We start from the raw sequence: 19,568 nt of genomic DNA, 5'->3' as shown, positions 1-19,568 counted from the left end.
TCCTTCCTAGCCCCTGACAACCACTAATTTACCTTCTTCTTCTATAGATTTGCCTATTCTGGGCATTTCATAGAGATGGAATAATTTACTGTGGGACCTTTTGTGACTGGCTTCTTTCATTTAACTTAATGTTTTCAAGGTTCATCCACGTTGTTGCATGTATGCACTGATGGACATTTGGGTTGTTTCCACTTTTTGGCTATCATAAATAACATTGTTATAAGAATTCATGTGCAAGTTTTATTTGACTATATGTTTTCAGTTCTCTTGGGTCTATAGAGAAGAGTGGAATTCCTGGGTCATACTGTGAATCTATTAAACCTCTTTTCTTTATAAATTACTCTGTGTCAGGTATTTCTTCATAGCAGCGTGGAAATGAACTAATACAGTAAATTGGTATCAAGGTAGTGGGGGATTGCTATAAGATACCTGAGAATGTGGAAGCGACTTTAGAACTGGGTAATGGGCAGAGGTTGGAACAGTTTGGAGGACTCAGAAGACAGAAAGATGTGGCAAAGTTCAGAACTTCCCAGAGACTTGTTGAGGGGCTCTGATCAAAATGCTGATAGTGATATGGACCATGAAGTCCAGGATGAGGTGGTCTTAGATGGAGATGAGAAATTTATTGGGAACTTGAATAAACATGATTCTTGCTATGCTTTAGCAAAGAGACTGGCAGCATTTTGTCCCTGCCCTAAATATCTGTGGAACTTTGAACCTGAGAGACCTAATTTAAGGTATCTGGCCAAATAAATTTCAAAGCAGCAAAACCTTCAAGTGATGACTTGGGTGCCCTTTAAAGCCTTCAGTTTTATGCACTTACAAAGTTATGGTTTGGAATTGGAACTTACGTTTAAAAGGGAAGCAGAGCGTAAAAGTTCAGAAAAATTACCCGGAAGGAGTTAAACCCCATGGCTGCTTCATGAAGCAGGAAAGGTGGATAAAAAAGACAGAGAAAAGATGCAAAATACACAATCTATAATTTAAAAAGGGAAAATTATTACAGAGCCCAGGATAGCAAACACATAAAAGTAGAATACAATGAAATAAATTATGGCAACTATTTTCACTAAACTAAAAGGAACTCTATAATGAAAACTTTTCTATAAGGAAAATTTCCATCTTATGTTTCGTTTACTGGAACCAACCTTGTGAAAATTACACAAACTTCAAGAGAATTAAAAAGAAGGAAATGCTTCCAGAATTATTATATGTGGTCACAATAAACTTCATTTCCAAAACGAATAAAAGCATTAGAAACAAAAATTAATTCCTGCATCTGACATGAACACAGATATAAAAAGCATAAAAAGCACATATATGTGTAATGTGTAGTTCATATATATATATACATATTTGAAATATCTATCTATCTATATAGGTATTTATAGATATCTAAATATATCTATATCTGTATATATGTAAATGTACATATATGTGTGTTAATGCACATATATGTATATATGAATGCATATCTGTATATAGCTACATATGTATGTAGCCCTATATTGAATTATGTATGCCTATAAAATTGAATGTCAGTATATTTCTATCTATTTAATAAACAGGTGTAGCAAGCCACATTACAGCTCTTATGCTTAAAACTCAGGTAAATTTTAATAATAGCAATTTCTGAGTGATGGTCATAAAACGAAAGGTATGACAGGCTTAGTTAACTAATTTTAGAAAAAAATTTATATTGTTTTATTTAAATGTTTTATTTTCCTTTTTTCTTTTAATTTGGAGACAAGGATTTGCTGTGTTTCCCAAGCTGAAGAGTAGTGGCAATTCACAGGTGAAAACTTTTCTTCACTTTTGGAATAAGTTTTTATTTTGCTTGGAATTTTAGCTTCAATAAATAATAAGTGTACATGAAAAAGCCGCTACTTTGATCTAATCTATGAGAATTATTTAAATTCTCATCCAATAGAAGACAAAATCAAAGTAAAAAGAAAATTGGGCTCTTGCCAGAGAGACACAGCTCTTTACTCTTAGGTCTGAGGCAATCTCCCAGACATTCTTGCTCACACAGTTGCAGTCCACTGCAAGAATAGAAGATGTGAGGACAGCATTACTCAGTTGCACCTTGAGCTCCCTGACTACATATAGTTAACTATCTTTATTGAGGATAATAATAGTTAAAATAAATCACATTGATTTTTAAATGTACAGTTTTTATGAATTTTTGCAAATAAATAATCCTTCTAACCACCTCCAAAGTCAAGATATAAAGTATTTTCACAACCCCAAAAAGCTCTTCCTGAGCAAGTTACGTGATCAACTTGCTCTCTACCCCATAGATTAGGCAACTTTTGGCCCATTTTGAAAGGTCTACTCATGGCTCTTCCACCATGACTTTGTCTCTAATCCTCTGTTCTGTTTTTTCTAAGGTCTGATGATTTGTTCAAACCCATAGACAATGTCATTGAATGGCTGATCTCCCTCTGCAAAATGAACAAGGATATAACACTTGCACTTTGCTCACTGTTATGATTTTTACTCTCCAGGCCATCCTTGACTGTGAGAATGATGTGACATCAGCCCAGCATCCATGGATAGAACTCTGTCCAGAATAGCATCATTGTAGACATACAAAGAATGAGGACTTACCTAGGAGACAAGGATATAATTTTTAACATTAGGGAAAATCATCTCCATTCATACTCTTTGGCACCTCAAGTAAGTTAGAAAAATATTTTAAGGTGACACATGAATTTGGTGAGTGTTTTAGAAATACATCAAATTTCAAGGACATTCCTATAGCCAGAGCAGGTACTATATCTGGTTCTAGAAACCAACTATTTTGATGAGGAATAAATAGAATTATCTTAAGAGATTTAATTTATTAAAACATTTTGTAAATATGCATATGTTTCTCATATATATATGTAAATGGCCTTATTTAGACATGAATATATGCATATGGAACTACACGCACCCAACTATTTATCAAATAAATATATATATATGTACCTACATTAATGTTTATATATATATATGTGGAGTTTCCATAAATAAGGTAAATTTTACACTTTTTATTTATATATAATTTTTTAAATTTCTTTTTAAATTTCTCATTGGTAGCTTTATAAATACATTACCAAATATTTATACTTCTGCCACTAATTATAATAAGATACATCCTATATGGGTGAATGTGTAAGTATTACATTGGTCACTTTTTTTGCACAATGATGATTGATAACCAACTACTTAAAAGTCAGTGTATTACATCAAGTTTTATCGTGTTTCTGGATGATCATTTTAGTATTAACATGACTCTTCAAGACAGGGCTCAGCTGGGTGGTTTTGCTGCAGGGAGCAGAGCTTGTCTCTAACCTATGGATTGTGTTCATCTGAGGTCAAGGCTAAAGGGCAGTATCTACCCAGGCACCATATTCTGATGAAGGCAGCAGGAGTGGGCAACCTCCCCAAACCAAGTTGAAATGGTGAATGAAGTCTAATAATTTTGAACACAGATACACACAATTTTAAGTTATTCTTTCACCTTGGTAATTATTATGGTTCCTACAAACTTTTCCTCCATTTAAACATCAAAGCATTTTATTATTCCATGGACAGATCATTATGTTTCTCCAACTTTACAATCTTCCAATTGTTTTCAAATGTCATGTTGCATGGATTAGAAAATAAAGCTGGGTGTGGCTGCAACATGTGGCTTTCCATTGAAATTTTTAAAAATAGCCTCATTGCCATAATAGTATACAGAAGTTTGCTCTTGTCACCCAGGCTGGAGGGCAGTGACATGATCTTGGGTCACTGTAACCTCCACCTCCTGGGTCCAAGCGATTCTCCTGCCTCAGCCTCCCTGGTAGCTGGGGCCAATGGTGCCCACCACCACGGTATCTCTTTAGCTGAAACAAATATCACATAGAACATAGCTTCTTAAACCTTTTATAGGTCACCTGTTATCAACTACCATGGCTAAACAAAGGTTCTCATTCAGTGAACTGAAGGTCGTTCTGCTATTTAGCATATGTATCATGCTCTCAGTGTGCTAATGATCCTGCTGGATTCTGGATACATGTTGAGTAGCAAAGAATTTTCATAATTTAAAAAAGGTTACACCAATGTTCAGGTTTTTCTGTTGTTTTGGTTTCTTTGTTAAGAAATATTTTTCATTTGTTTGTAAAATGATTGTTATGTATGTCATACAATTTCCTGATTTTTAAGCTGTGTCTATGACTTAATAAAGTTATGTTGCTATGTGACAAGTGCAAGTATATTCAAATGTATTCTGAGGCCATGCATAACTGGCAAAAGTTTTCACTATTTTGTGAAAATACTGACCATGTTGGGCTTTCAGCTGTCAGTTCCTCATTATCACCATCACTTCTGAAAGCGCATTCTTCAGAACCACCTTTCCCTCTATACTTTCCTGTAGAGTTGTTCACTGAGGGGTCCTTCCACGAGATTTGGAAGTCAGAAGAGAATGATTCAATGCTCATTGACACCTGCAGACAGACAAGTGGACTTAGTTGAGACCTAGAGAATCACCTAGAGACATACTGCAGGAGGCTGAGAGCATCAGCACCTGCACTCTGGGCTTCTCAGACAGATCCAAGGACCATGTGGCTAGGCAGCTCACACCTGCAGGGTAGGGTGCACCCTGGTTTCTGCAGGAGCACCAGAGAATCATGTCTCTAGTATCTGCTTCCGTGACTAACATCAACCAGGCCTTGAAAAGCTGTAGTTTAGACACTGATTTCATAAATTAAAACGATTCCTGCTTGGAAGGGCTAGAGTGGCTTCTCTTTTGCTACAAGAATTCCAATCATCCCATAACAGACTCCTCAGGTGGTTAAATCTCTTTATTAAATCAGGACTCGCATTTCATGTCTTTGCTTCTGGGGATGAGGAGGAAAGAGAGTGGGTGCAAAGGAGCCACCTCATCACAATTTACCAAAATTTCCAGACGACCTTCAAAACTTGGCTGCATCTGGAAAACAACTCAGCAGATTGAGGCACTAGGAGGGGCATCTAGGGCAACCCGGCCTCACTCATCTGCTATCCTAGCAGTTGATGTTATGACTTGTCACACTGGGGGAGGGAAAATGCTCTCTTGTTGACATTAATAAGTTGCAAAATCTTCAGGCTGCAGGCTGCTGACGGTGAGAGTGAAATCTCTTCCATATCCGCTGCCACTGAACTGAGATGGCATCGCCCTCTGCAAACTGGATGCCCTATAGGTCAGGAACTTAGGTGCTTTCCCTGGTTTCTGCTGATACCAATTTAAATAGTTGTAAATGCTTTGACTAGCCTGGCAAGAGACGGTGGCTCTGTCTCCTACAGATGCAGACAGGGAGGATGGAGGCTGAGTCATCTGGATGTCACATCTGGCATCTCAGGTTGGAAATACAAAAACAAATATTTACACTTTTCACCATGTTATGCGAGGATTTCCCTGAAGAGCCAGGCTGTACTGAGCACACTGGGTGGCTAACTTCCCAGTGTTCTCCTTCTTTACCTGGGAGACAGAGCAGCAGGAAGGCCAGGAGCTGAGCGGGGATCCTCATGTTCATGCTGTGTCCTGACTGCAACTGACTCCTGCACAGGGTGTGACCAGCCTATTAAGAAGTCTTCAGGGCAGGGGGCTGCGCTCTAGGACACACAAATCAGCAGGGGATGGGGCAGGCTGGGCACAGCCACGGGGCTGGCTCATCTCGGTAACTCAGCAAAGGGGCAGTGTCCGCAGGGTCCCAGGTCAGACCAGGCCTGACAGATTTGCCTGGAGGGAATGTATTTCTCTCTACATCCGTTGTTTCGACAAGAGATATTTTGGGAGAAAAAAGTCAAAATTTAATTCAAACCTAGGGACTACATGGAGTCATATATTTTAGAGTTGTATCGGGAGTATATAGGAGAGTATGACCATTTGTAGGGAATGTCTGATAATGTCTTAGAGAATGGGGCTATCAGGTCTTCAAGTTATTTAAGTGGACATTGTGGGAGTGACAATCCCTTTGTTATACTAACAACACCTCTGTGATTGTCACGTTGCTCCCATTGTTTCATGTGGGAAAAAAGTCTTTGTCAGAAGCATATTTAAATATTCAAAGGTATTTTGTAGTGACCTGAAACATTTGTTATTACCAGTCTATTTTCAAGCCATTCCCTGCAGATGCACAATAATGATGCTGTGATTCCTCAATGCCTGTGCCACTCACAGATCTTCCATAATCCAGAGCTATAGGTCTCTGTAATAACCAGGGACTAAATGGACAGCACCTCCGTCTTGCTGACCCATATGATCAATTGTCTCCACAGGAAGAAGAACAAGGTAACTTACCATTGCTAATGCTCTGAGCTGCCTTTCCCACCGGAATGTTCCCAGGTGTTCAGGTACAGCTCCCAAAAAACTGGGCTTTCTGGAAAGCAGGGGAGGGAGAGGCCCTGGGGAAAGGCCAAGTCAGTGAACACTTTCTCTTCAGTGAGGGCAGCAGCTACTCAGTGCATGTCTCTGCCCTGCACCATCGATGCCACTTTCCTCTTTGACTCTTTAGCAGTATGTGGGGACATCATCCTTACCCAGACGCCAGCCTCCTTGCCTCACTTCCAGGAGAGAGAATCTGCATCTCCTGCCAAGCCACCGCCCATGTACGTGAAGAAATACTTGGGATCTGGATAAAACTTGGAAACAGATTTGAACCCCTATACCTCACATGTCTGCCTCTGCCCAGGCATCCCAGCCTGGTTGTGCAGCAAGGGAAGTGGAATCAACTACATCGACATGAGAAGACTAGAACCTGGGGAGTCCAGGGAGCATTACTCACGCATCACTAAGAGTGAGCAGACCACAGTGGTATAGCCTGTACCCAGATCTCCTGCTGCTTTCCAGGGGCCTGAATTTCAAGGGAAATTACTGGCAAACTGCTTGCTAAGATTTAGGTTCAGAGAGAAGAAGCTCTGGATTGAAATACACACATTTTTTTTGTGCGGGGAGGTGAATGTAGCAGTCACTCTTGCTACCCTTTGCCTTTCCCCTTTGCTGTACTTCTGCTGACTCCCCATGGCCATATCTGTTCCTCACTGCTCTATGTCAAACTGGAGAAGGCAGCCCTGCCTGCACACATGGCCTTTCACAGCACCTGGAATGAGCATCCTCTCAGAAAGCCCTCAATCAGTGAGGACAGGAGAGGTGTATATACCCCAGCTCCCTCTCTTCTCAGCTGGAATAATACTGAGACATTTTCCCCTGTTTCCACGTGGGCTTGAGCTCCAGCCATCCTCAGCGGTAGCTCTTTGCTGAGGAGACTTTTGGAGTCCCTCCTTTCTTTCCTCCTTCACTGCCTTGTTTCCTCCCCGTGTTTCCTGTGCATTATAAACATGCTGCCTGCATAGGCATCATTATCCCTGAAAGAGCCAACCTAAGAAAGCAGAAAAACATTCTTTCTTGGACGGTATGGTCTGAATTCTTGTCAAATCTTTTTTTTAACGCATAGGGATATTTAGAAAATTTAGGAAACACCTGAATTATCTTGGAATGGTCACCCTCCGTTCTTCAAAATGGCTCTATCTTGTCATTTTTTAGTGTCAGTTTTAACAAGACACACAGGCATTTCACTGTGAAGAGGGCTAGCAGCAGAATACTTCTTATGTGTAAAAGCTCTTGGATAAATCCTTTAAACTCTCATACTCTCTGGGTATGTGATTAGCTCTTGTGTTCTCTGGAGATGACAAAAGTAGGGGGCTATTTGTTCATTTGTTTTCACATTAGGAGAAGAAATCAGATTGATAGGACACATTTTGAGAGGGAAGAGCCGGCTCAGGGAGATGAGGATGGTAGAAAAGAAGCAAAGTGTTCAGGGCAATGCGAGATGTGCTCCTGCCCTCAAATCTGAAAGAAAGACATTTAAATTTTAAAGACTTGGAGGAAGTTTTGCTATGTGGACAAAACTGCAGAAAGGCCTGAGTTTATAATTGTGGTAATCATGGCAAGGTTCAGAGGTAGCAAGGCGCTTGCTGAGAATTCCACACCACCCTTCCGGCTTTGTCTCTTCTCTGAGTTTAAAAGCCATTCATTCCTCCATGGAACAAATGTGGCCATGTGGAAGCGACATATTTAAGCTGGGTTCCAAGCTCAGCCCTGATAATTGCTGGCCATGTATCTTTGGGCAAACCACCCCTGTGCTCTGATGAACAGTTTACTCACCTGTGAAAAGTAGCACCAAGGATATCAAGGGCTGTCCTGAAGGTTTCTCTAGTTGATGCACCAGGAAATGTATCTATGCATATATATGTATGAAAAGACTACTTAGGGCCCCTTTTCTGCATCCTTGAATATCTTAGAATGAAGATTCTAGATAAGATATTACTACCCAGATGTCATGCTCTACTAAGAATTATCAACATTTATTATATAATTAACAGATGCTCCAGTATACACCGTGGGGTTTCCTGTACGCTATTTCCTCATAAAATCTTCTAATATGTGTAACATTAGAGAATCGAACGTGGAGATTCCCAATCATTATACTACCTTTAGGCTGGATTTATTCTAAGCCCCATTTGTATTAGTATTTTTGGGCTGCTATAACAAATTACCAAAACTTTGGTAGCTTAAAGAAATAGAAATATATTCTCTTATAGTTCTGGAGGCCAGAAGTCCAGCATCAGTTTCAGCAGCCAGGAGCAGGCTGTCATCAGACAAAGCTGCTCCAGGGTCTCCAGGGGCAAGTCTATTTTTTTTTACTTCTCTTAGCTTTTGTTGGTTTAAGCTTTCATTGGCTTGAGTCCAAATCATTTCAATCTCTGTTGCTGTCTTCAGATGGCCTTCTCTTCTGCAGGATTTTTAAAAATGACATTTAACAAAGACAGGCCCCTTTAGGGCCCACCTGGTCAATACAGGATAATCTGCCTGTTTTATAATCCTTAATTTCATGTGCAAAGGCTCTTTTCCTGTGAAAGGTACCTGTATAGTTTCCATGGAATACAGCCTGATCATTTGAGCACCATACTCAGCACTAAACCATTATAGAATGACTCTTCAGTGTTGGTACTATACACACATCACACGCTCTTCTCTCTCTCTCTCCTCCTCTCGTTCCCTCTTTCTTCCTTCTGATTATAAATCTCCTCACTTCCCTAAGCGTATCCAGTGCCACCTATGTCTAGGTTAGAGCAGCACACATAGGAGGGCCTGCATAGGTATCATTGTCCCTGAAATGTTGTGGTTTGGCTTAGAGACCTGCTCTATCCCTCATTATCACTCAGAAAGAAGGACACAGCCAAAGATAGTCCTCAGCCATCTGGGGAGAAGCTGTCTTCACAGAGGACAGTCAGGGGCTATCATTCTCTGGACCTCTGCTTATCTTCAGATGCCTGTGGTCCTCAGCCCTCAGTGAGGGTCTGTGTGGCCCCTGATTCGAGTAGGATCCAACAGGATCCTTATCAGAATATCTGATTCACAGAAGGCAGCGAGTGTAAGGTAGGAGATCATCAGGACTTGTGTTCTGAGCACCGATCCCAACATTGGTCATGACAACGCTGACTGGAACAGGATCTCGACAAAAGAGGATGCGCTACAGAAACTGGCCCAAACCAGCTAGAACCAAGATGGTGACAAAAACGACCTCTAGAGCACAGTGTGAGTGGATCTTCCCCCGGGGGCTCCCGTCAGACAGAGTGGCAGCCATGGCTCAGTGCTGCATGATCATAGTATGAAACCCCCCCCCACGGTCTTTTCACAGCCCCCCTCTGACTGCAGTGATGTGGGATTTCTCTGTCCAACTTTCATGGCTCAAGCAACTTCTGGGACTCTGTTCACAATGGGAGGTCATGAAGGTAGTTAGGCTGTTGATGGCCAGAGTGACGTCTGTCCAGACTCACCCCCTTGACCCAGGCGGGCATCGTGTCCAGGGGGCAGTGGGAGCCAGCAGGAGATCAGCGTCAGCCCTTATTTCCTGTGGAGCTAGGCTAGGACACTGTTATTTCCGTGACTGGCTCTGCTGGTGACAGTGACCCTGTCTCCTGGAACACAGGGAGGGGCCTGGAGATGAGCACCGCACAATATCCCAACTGTCACATAAGTGGGGAACAATTATGAACATCCCCAAGTGTTAATTCTAAATAACTACTTCATTCAGTTTGACTGAATTCTGATGAACAAGCAAAATGGGCGACAGACTTCATCTTGAAGGATGTTTAATGCAAAGAAACTGCATTAAATTCATGTTTAATACACAGAACTGAAACTGAAGGTGAAGCCCGAGTTCTCCCTCTTCACCAGAGAATTGGAAAAGCAGGAGGAAGAGGAGCAACACCAGGTCCCCACGTCCACGAGGGTCTCCTGAGGCTGATCCTGCTCAGAGAGAGTGGGAAAAGTGGATGAGTCAGCTTGCATTGCCACACCAAAAAAACTGGATTGGATGGCAGAAACCACAGAATTTAATTTTCATATTTCTGGTGCCTGGAATAGCCCAGATCGATGTCCAGCAGGGTTTGCTTTCTGGTAAAGACCTTCTTCCTGGTTTGCAGATGCCACCTTCTCACGGTGTCTTCACACAGCCTTTCCATAGAGCGGAAGGCAATTAGAGAGAGAAGGGAGAAAGGAGAGCTCTCTGAATCTTATAAAAACACGAATTTGCCAGGCGCAGTGGCTCACGCCTGTAATCGCAGCACTTTGGGAGGCCGAGGCGGGCAGATCATGAGGTCAGGAGATCGAGACCATCCTGGCTAACGCGGTGAAACCCCGCCTCCACTAAAAATACAAAAAATTAGCCGGGAGTGGTGGCGGGCACCTGTAATCCCAGCTACTCGGGAGGCTGAGGCAGGAGAATGGTGTGAACCCGGGAGACGGAGCTTGCAGTGAGCTGAGATGGCGCCACTGCACTCCAGCCTGGGCGACAGAGCGAGACTCTGCCTCAAAAACAAACAAGCAAACAAACAAAACAAAGCAAAAACAACAAAACACGAATTCTACTGGATCAGGGACCCCCCTTATGACCTCAATTACATCTTTAGAGGTCCTAATTTCTACAGTCATATTGAAATTAGGGTTTCAACATGAATCTGAGGGCACAATTCAGTCCATAGCAGGTGGGACACAGCCGGGGCCTTGCTTCCAGTCTCAGAGAATGGGGCAGGTTCCCACAACTCAGCACATGGGTGGCTCCTCCCCGGTGCCCAGGTCACAAGAAAGACCCGCCTCTACCTTTCGGGCTCCCTGTTGAGAATGGGACACCAGCACTCCTACTTTCCCAGTGTTCCTGAGACCATGGTGTTGTCTTTTGTTTATTGTGGAGTGTTTTTGCCATCTTCAGACAGGTCTTTGACATAGCAACTTATCGGACATTTGATTCTGTGATTGTGAAAATTAATTGATTAATTAGTCATAAGTAAAAAATTAAACAATACATTGAATCAGAAAAAAGGAGGGCCAGATGAAGAGCTTAAAAGGAATCTGAGTATCTTAAAAAGACGTATTCCTTTCAAACAAGAACAGTTAGAGTCACGGATTTTTTAACAAATGACTTTTTAGCAGCAATGATGAAATAGTAAATGACAACTTCAAATAGGCTACCACATATGGAAGTTTCTTGTCAAAGAATATCTTCAAGAATCATGTAAACACATTTTCAGATTAAAACAAACAAACAATGAACGTGGGTTTACCAGCAGACCCGCTCAATGGAAAATTTCTCAAATCTGTGACTGAGTCAAAAGTACATTTGTCCCTGATGGAAAGCTAGAGGTTTTATTTGTTTCTGTATTTATTTTTGATCCTTAGAAGAAAACAGCTTTCTCTCCATTCAGTTCCACCTCATGCTGTTGAGGATGACCATGGGGGCAGTGACTGTGAGGAAGGAGGAAGGCTGTGCTCTCAGGGTGGTCGTGCCTCCTGTCCACCTGAGTGACCTCATGGAGCAGAGCCACCCACACCACCAAGGCCACGTGCCTGCCTCTGCACTGCCATGGCACAGACACAGAAACCTTGTCACATTTAGTCCACCATATTTTGAGGTTTCTTTGTAATAAATTTAATTATGCTCTGATTCTCCTTGTGTCTCTCTCCTTTCAGATTTGGAATCATTTACTTTTCACCATTTTGACTTGAGAATATAGACCTTTGGGATATCAGCATCAGGTAGGTTGTACATTTGTTTGCTTTTCCTAAGAATATATCTAACCGCCTTGAATGGGTTTTGATTTTATCTTCTGTCTCACAGAAAAGCAGAAACTCAAGGTGACTAGGTGCTGTCAATCACAGGAGGGCTAACGTGACAACGGAATTGCTGTATCTCCTGCTGTTGCTACTTACATCTTATTTTCTTTTACTGCGTTCTGTAATAACATTTAGGCTCAAAGAAACATTAATTAGTATTTTTGAATAACATATTAAGTGCTTATGTTTCTTAATTTGAGGGCTATGGTCTACTAAACATCTATATACATTTTGCCATGCAACTTTTCAACCCAACAGAAATGACACATGGGAATTTTAATTGCACTTCCTGTGGAATCCGTTATCTTGACATAAATCATCTCAAGTATAATTTAAGCTGTTAGCCTGCATCAGATTCAATGAGCCTTTTGTGTCTCTACACAGTGTTTTCACATGTAAAAGACATCACTCATTACTCGGGTTCATGTAAATTTATTTGGCAGAACAATCAGATCACGGAAGCAGGCAAGTGGTAACACAAGTGAAATACATGTTAGAAACGACTGGTTTGGGGATAGTTTTATACATGGTAACAGGTGGTCATATTGGGAAATTGCTGTCTTCCCACTTTCCAAACTTGCTCCTTTACCACTCACACGAAACTGCCCTCTCTAGTATTATGGTGAAGAAAGCACTATTGCTTTTTTAACGGAAAGCATTTGTTAGGTTTAAAAGTTCCATGGCAAAATGTATACAGATATGTATCAGACCGCAGCCCTCATATTAAGAAAGCATATAAATTTAGAACATTATTGTCAATAGAATCTATTTATTTATTTATTATTTTAATTTTAATTTTATTATTATTATACTTTAAGTTTTAGGGTACATGTGTACAATGTGCAGGTTTGTTACATATGTATACATGTGCCATGTTGGTGTGCTGCACCCATTAAGACACATGCACACGTATGTTTATTACGGCGCTATTCACAATAGCAAAGACTTGGAACCAACCCAAATGTCCAACAAAGATAGACTGGATAAAGAAAATGTGGCACATATACACCATGGAATACTATGCAGCCATAAAAAATGAAGAGTTCATGTCCTTTGTAGGGACATGGATGAAGCTGGAAACCATCATTCTCAGCAAACTCTGGCAAGGACAAAAAACCAAACACCGCATGCTCTCACTCATAGGTGGGAATTGAACAATGAGAACACATGGACACAGGGTGGGGCACATCACACTCCGGGGACTGTTGTGGGGTGGGGGGAGGGATGAAGGATGGCATTAGGAGACATACCTAATGCTAAATGACGAGTTAATAGAATCTATTAAGGGCATAATTTTTCTATGCATTTACAACTAAAATAGACGATTCAGATTTATTTTCAGGAAAAAAATAGGGTCATGTAAAAATAATGCATTTATTCATTCTTCGAATGATTTTCTTATGACAACATAGTACTAGATATTTCCTCTCTAAAGTACTATGTCAGTAAAATACTTTTAAAATTCTAAGAATTTGAGAAGAAAATAAAAATCTCATGCAATTCTGCATTGTTCCTGTGATATGTTATATAAACTTTATGTTTTCCTCCTGAGTTATTTTGTTTATTTTCAAATCCCACTTTTGGAATTGTAAGAACTCCATTTTCAGTCAGCAAAAGGTAATTGAGGTAAATCAAACTATTTCGGGATTAGGATTTATATTTCCCCTGGATTTTAAAAATCTATAAGTAGTAAAAAACAATCAGACATTATAACTAATTATTCTTAGCCATACTCCCGTGAAAATAGCTGGTGCAGAATGCTTTCTCCACCATAGTACTAGGGAGGGCAGGTTCGTGTGAGTGGTAAAGGAGAGAGAAAGTTTGGAAAGTGGGAAGATAGCAATTTCTCAACATGAACAACTGTTACCATGTATAAAACTATCCCCAGACCAGTCGTTTGCAACATGTTTTTCACTTCTGTTACCACTAATCTGCATCCATGATCTGATTGTTCTGCAAATAAATGGACTCAACAAATGTGGGCCAGACAAGGAGGGTGAAGATGAGCTTCATTCACTCTTCCTTCATCAGAGCTGGCTGTTCCCAGAGCAGGTGGCTACATGTGGCAGCTGATGGAGCCTTAACATGTGGGACTGAGGTGCAGCTGAGGCTTTCATGGGCCAGAGTCCTCAGCAGCAAACTCTGTCCTGAATTCTCCAACAGCCTCCTCTTCTGCAGACTGAGAGACCCTGCTGAGCTGCTCCCCAGACAAGCAGTGCATGTGAGCAGCTGGGACACCCCAGAAGGGAGGTTTCTCTATGGGGCTGTACCACTGTGGGAGGAAGCTGCAGAGCCTGCATGCAGTAATAAACCCCAACATCTTCAGCTCCACCCGGCTGATTTTCAGTGTGAAATCAGTGCCTGACCCACTGCCATTGAACCTGTCTGGGACTCCAGAGGCCCGGTTTGAAACAAAATAGATCAGGAGCTGTGGAGACTGGCCTGGCTTCTGCAGGAACCAATACGAATAGGTGTATCCATCACTGGACAAGAGGCTCTGACTAGACCTACAGGATATGGGGGTGGCTCTCTAGAGGCGACAGGCCAGGAGAGTGGAGTCTGGGCCATCACAGTATCACCACTGGATCCTGAAATAATAACAGAGAAGTGCAAGTTTGTATAGACACATTATGAGCAGCTTTCATGATTTCTCTATGATACTGATTTACAGTTACATATATTTTCAAGTTTTGATTTATATCATGGAAAGTAGACTTTCTAAAATGAACCCATTATTTACCAGCCAGCAGGGAACTCTTTATTTTCAAGATCTTAATCAGAGGTCATTGTTCCTTGGAGGTGAATCCTGATTATTCTTAAGACAAAAATATGAATTCTCTTTCCTGGAGCATAGACCATGTGCCTCTAACACATGGTTGAAATAAATATGGGAAGCTATGGAGCTCCCAGAACTCACCTTCCAACCCCATTTTCCCACCTCATATTTTTTCTATCTTGAGCATTAGCCGCCCCAGGAGCTGAGCAGGGAGCCTCATTGTGAGATGGACTGAGGAGTCCTGATCTGTCGAGGCAAGGTTAGAGCTGAGCTTTTACCTCAGACTCACAAGGGAAGGTCCTCCCCTAGGGTGCAATATGCAAATCACCTGGTGGGTGCAGCAGTGTGGAAAGGGTCAGTGGTGGAGGGGGTATGTCTCTACTGTGAACAATGTGACATAAAATGTTCAATGGAGCAAAACAAACATAGTTCAAGTCAAGTATGCCTGTAGCAGTTGAGGATGGGACACACTAGGGTCTCCTCCCAGTGATGTGACTGAGCATCCCTGCAGCCATGACGACAGCAGGAAACCTTAGCGGCTGGTCCAGTGAGGATGTGGCAGCCAACACTGGAGGGTCTGTAGGGCTTGAGCACCCCAAGGAGTTAGGAAGGAAGAGGCTCTGGAAGGTGCCCTGGAGAGACCTGGCCCCTGTTCACACAGAAGAGGAGCATGTACCTGTGACTGAGGCCTCATGTCCTCTTCCTCAAAGACTCTCCAGGCAACTGCCTGAGCCCACCTGACTCGACTCTCTGTGGACACATCCCCTGGCACCGCAGCCTCTCCTTCCACGCTGAGAGGCGGAGCTTCCTTGAGAGCTTTATGTTTGGGGCCATCACACTGTGCAGGGTCCCAGTGAGTGTTCTGCTCACAGGAGGATGTGCAGCATCTCCAGGCTCCAAAGTAGTGTTTGTGATGGTGAAATCCCTAGAATTTTGGTTAGATGTGAGTCCCTGCTTGTGAATACCTTCTACAGACATGTCATTCTTTGTTTTGCAAGATATTTTCTATGAAGCATCCTTTCTTTGTTTTTGAACCTTTTTTTGGTTAGGAATGTAATTTAAATTGCACTACCTTTAGTCTCCACACTAGTGATTATGGGAGTGAGACCAGTAGATTTTGGGTTGGATGTGTGTTCTCACTCATGAATGGAAAACTACTCTAAAGACTTGTCATTCTTTGTACGTGTGACAAATTACTTGCTATATTTCATGATTTCCTTTTTTTTTGACATTTCTGCTTGGAAATACAATTTTAAATTCATTCACAATGGGATCCATCATCTTAGAATAGACAATAATTTCTGATGTGATTCATTTTTTTAACCAGAAAAAAAGATATTTTGTCCTTTTGATACGAACATTACTTTAATCATATCACCTCACGGCAGTAACAGACATGCTCTTGAATAATTCATAAATATTTTTGGAGCATTATTTTAAGTGACTATATGCAAATCATACATTTTTCTATACCATTACTGTTAGAATATGGAAATCAGATTTATTTTTAGGCAATGACCACATTGTGTAAAAATAATACATTTACTTATTTCAAAACCTTTTATTGTTTTTTATGACAACTTAATATCAAAATTGTCATTTATCAAAACCTGCTGGATTACGTCTTGCTGGGCCTTCTGCTCAGCATGTCAGTGCTTCTGACATCTCCCAGACCCAGACGGTGGTCTCTGCTAGACCTCCTCTAAGGATAGAATAAGTTTCAGAAGCTCTGCTTGGCTGCTGTGATTTCACTAAGACTGAGTGACATGACCTCAGGTCTCCTTGTACAGGGACTTCACTAACCCTTTGGTGATTACACACCTAAAGCCCTACTCACGACATTACTTTCCTGTGAGACTCCCAGTGGCACAGGCTCCGCCCAGGAAGCCACGCAGCAGTGCCTTCAACTCTGTGATTCTTCGCAAGAAACATATTTGGCTCCTTTGTGGGTCCACATCAACTGCCATCACCACCACCATCCACATCCCACCCACCGTAAACCAAGGGCAGTTTAATTGAACAATAGCCGACCTCTCCTGTACCCCTAAGGCCCCTATTCCTGCAGTCTGTCCAATCTTGAATTCTGAACTTTGGGAAATAAAAAAGTTTCCATCATCCTTTATTTTCCCAGTGATCCATGGAAAATACTACATCTTTAGTATACTACATCTTCCAGGATTTGCTTTTTATTTCTAAAACCAGCTTTTGGAGTTTCAAGAACTCCATTTTTCTATCAGTGAGAGATAATTGTAATTAAAAAAAGGTTCAGTATTAGTATCTTGTATCTGCTATGAAATTACAAAATCTATTTGACGCTCACTACCAAGATTTCACTGACTGTCCTCAGCCAGCTCCCTCTGAGGAGAACTAGTGGAGAATGCTGTCTCTCCTGTCTTACGGAGTGGGCAATGAGTGCTAAATAGAAGAAGCGGAAGTTAAAACAAACTAGGAAAATGCCAATTTTAAATATAACCAAATATTTTCTTGAAAATATGGCCGGGTGCGCTGGCTCATGCCGTAATGCCAGCACTCTGGTAGGCTAAGCCCAGTGGATCACTTGAGGTCAGGAGTTGGAGACCAGCCTGGCCAACATGGTGAAACCCCGTCTCTACTAATAATACAAAAATTAGCTGGGCATGTTGGCGAGAGCCTGTAATCTCAGCTACTTGAGAGATGAGGCAGGAGAATCGCTTGAAACTGGGAGGCAGAGGTTGCAGTGAGCTGCGATCATTGCTCCACTGCACTCCAGCCTGGGCGATAGAGGGAGACTCTGTCTCAAAAAAAATCTATATCAATCCATATCTATGTCTATGTCTATATTTATATCTATATCTCTATCTATATCTATCTATCTATCTATCTATCTATCTATCTATCTATCTATCTATCTATCCCAAACTGTTAAACCCTAAGATGTATTCAGTGTGTCTTGCCAGAAATGATCAATTGTCTGGCTGTTTTGCTGAATAAATTTAATAAACAACTGTAGGCAAGGAGGGAGGATGAAGATGAGCTTCCATTCTCCTTTCCCTTTCATCCTGATTTTTAACTCACAGGGCCCTAGAACCTCCTCATACCCCTGTTACTTATGACTGTCAAGGCTGTGTCAGGTGACAGGTACATCAGCAAGAGCGGGAATTGGGCCCGATGGCTCATGCCTCTAATCTCAGCACTTTGGGAGGCCGAATTGGGTGGATGACTTGAGCCCAGGATCTCAAGAGCAGCCTGGACAACATGGCGAAACCCCGTGACTACCAAAACTATATACAAAAATTAATCAGGCTTGGTGGCATGCCCCCTGTGATTCCAGCTACTCCGTAGGCTGTGGTAGGAAAATCACTTGAGCTTGGGATTTCACGGTTGCAATGAGCCATAATCACACCGCTGCACTTCATGCTGGGTAACAGAGTGAGACCCTGTCTTGAAAACATAAAGAAGTAAACAAACAGGTAGTGCTTGAGGTACAGCTGAGGATTCATGGCCCAGAGTCCTCAACAGCAAACCTGCCCCTGAGTTCTCCAACAGCCTCCCCTTTTGCAGACTCAGAGACCCTGCTGAGCTGCTCCCCAGACAAGCAGCACATGTGGGCAGCTGGGCAATCCCAGCAGAGAGGTTTCTGTTCCAGGATGTAGCACTGTGGGGGACCAGTGTGTAGCTTGCATGCAGTAATATAAACCCCAACATCCGCAGCCTCCACCGGGCTGATTTTCAGTGTGAAATCAATGCCCGACCCACTGCCACTGAACCTGTCTGGGACCCCAGAAAACCGGTTAGAAACCTTGCAGATTAGACACTGTGGAGGCTGGCCTGGCTTCTGCAGCTACCAATGTAAATAGGTGTTTCCATTACTATGCAGGAGGCTGCGACTAGACCTGCAGGAGATGGAGGCCGGCTCTCCGGGGGTGATGGACAGGGAGAGTGGAGTCTGGGTCAACAGAATGTCCCCACTAGATCCTGGAATGATGACAGAAAAGGGCAAAGTTATGTACAAATATTGTGCATCATGTTCATAATTTTCCATTTATTATTTCAGCCTGTATAATTTCTTTGCAATTTCAGGAATATCCAATTTCAAAAAGAACTCAACAGATGCAAGGCACAAAGTGGTCTCCCATACCATCATCCTCTTTCTAAGACTTGTGTTTCTTCAGGGCACATATCCTTCCTTCTAAAATCTTCCTCCCTCTCAGAGATCAGTACATCATATGCCTCATGCTGCAGAAAAAGACCTGCATATCTAACACGTGGACTGAACACACATGGGAGACATTGGGCCCCCAGAGCTCACCCTCCCACCCCATTCTCCTCCCTCATCTCCCTGCTGTCCTTACCGGGGACCCGGAGCATTAGCAGCCCCAGGAGCTGAGCAGGGAGCCTCATCGTGAGAAGGTGCCCTGAGGAGTCCTGATCAGTCAAGGCAAGGTTAGAGCTGAGCTTTTATCTCAGACTCACAATGGAAGGTCCTCCCTAGGGGACAATATGCAAATCCCCTGATGGGTGCAGTGGGGTGGAAAGAGCCAAGGGGATGGTGGGAGCCTCTCTTGAGGGCAAAATGACTTAAATATTGTCTCTGTTTAGAGAGAAACCAATAGAGATAAAATCTGTGCT

The 19,568-nt window shown here is 42.2% G+C and overlaps 3 pseudogenes, besides 1 other annotated feature; all 3 read right to left on the bottom strand.

The window, feature by feature from the left end:
• On the bottom strand, window positions 5,085-5,364 carry IGKV1OR2-11 (immunoglobulin kappa variable 1/OR2-11 (pseudogene); annotated as a pseudogene).
• Window positions 5,597-6,097: an enhancer, noted in NCBI's record as "H3K4me1 hESC enhancer chr2:97987861-97988361 (GRCh37/hg19 assembly coordinates)". NCBI's record gives its function as "activates a minimal SCP1, AML or CMV promoter by ChIP-STARR-seq in primed H9 embryonic stem cells {active_cell/tissue: H9 hESC(primed)}" and the evidence as "EXISTENCE:reporter gene assay evidence [ECO:0000049][PMID:30033119]".
• IGKV2OR2-10 (immunoglobulin kappa variable 2/OR2-10 (pseudogene)) lies at window positions 14,462-15,180 on the bottom strand (annotated as a pseudogene).
• On the bottom strand, window positions 18,436-19,340 carry IGKV2OR2-7 (immunoglobulin kappa variable 2/OR2-7 (pseudogene); annotated as a pseudogene).

The sequence above is a fragment of the Homo sapiens genome, chromosome 2, assembly GCF_000001405.40.
Source record: "Homo sapiens chromosome 2, GRCh38.p14 Primary Assembly".
Taxonomy (NCBI): Eukaryota; Metazoa; Chordata; class Mammalia; order Primates; family Hominidae; genus Homo; species Homo sapiens.
The sequence above is the reverse complement of the archived record's forward strand: the minus strand, read 5'-3'. Positions and strand labels throughout refer to the sequence as shown.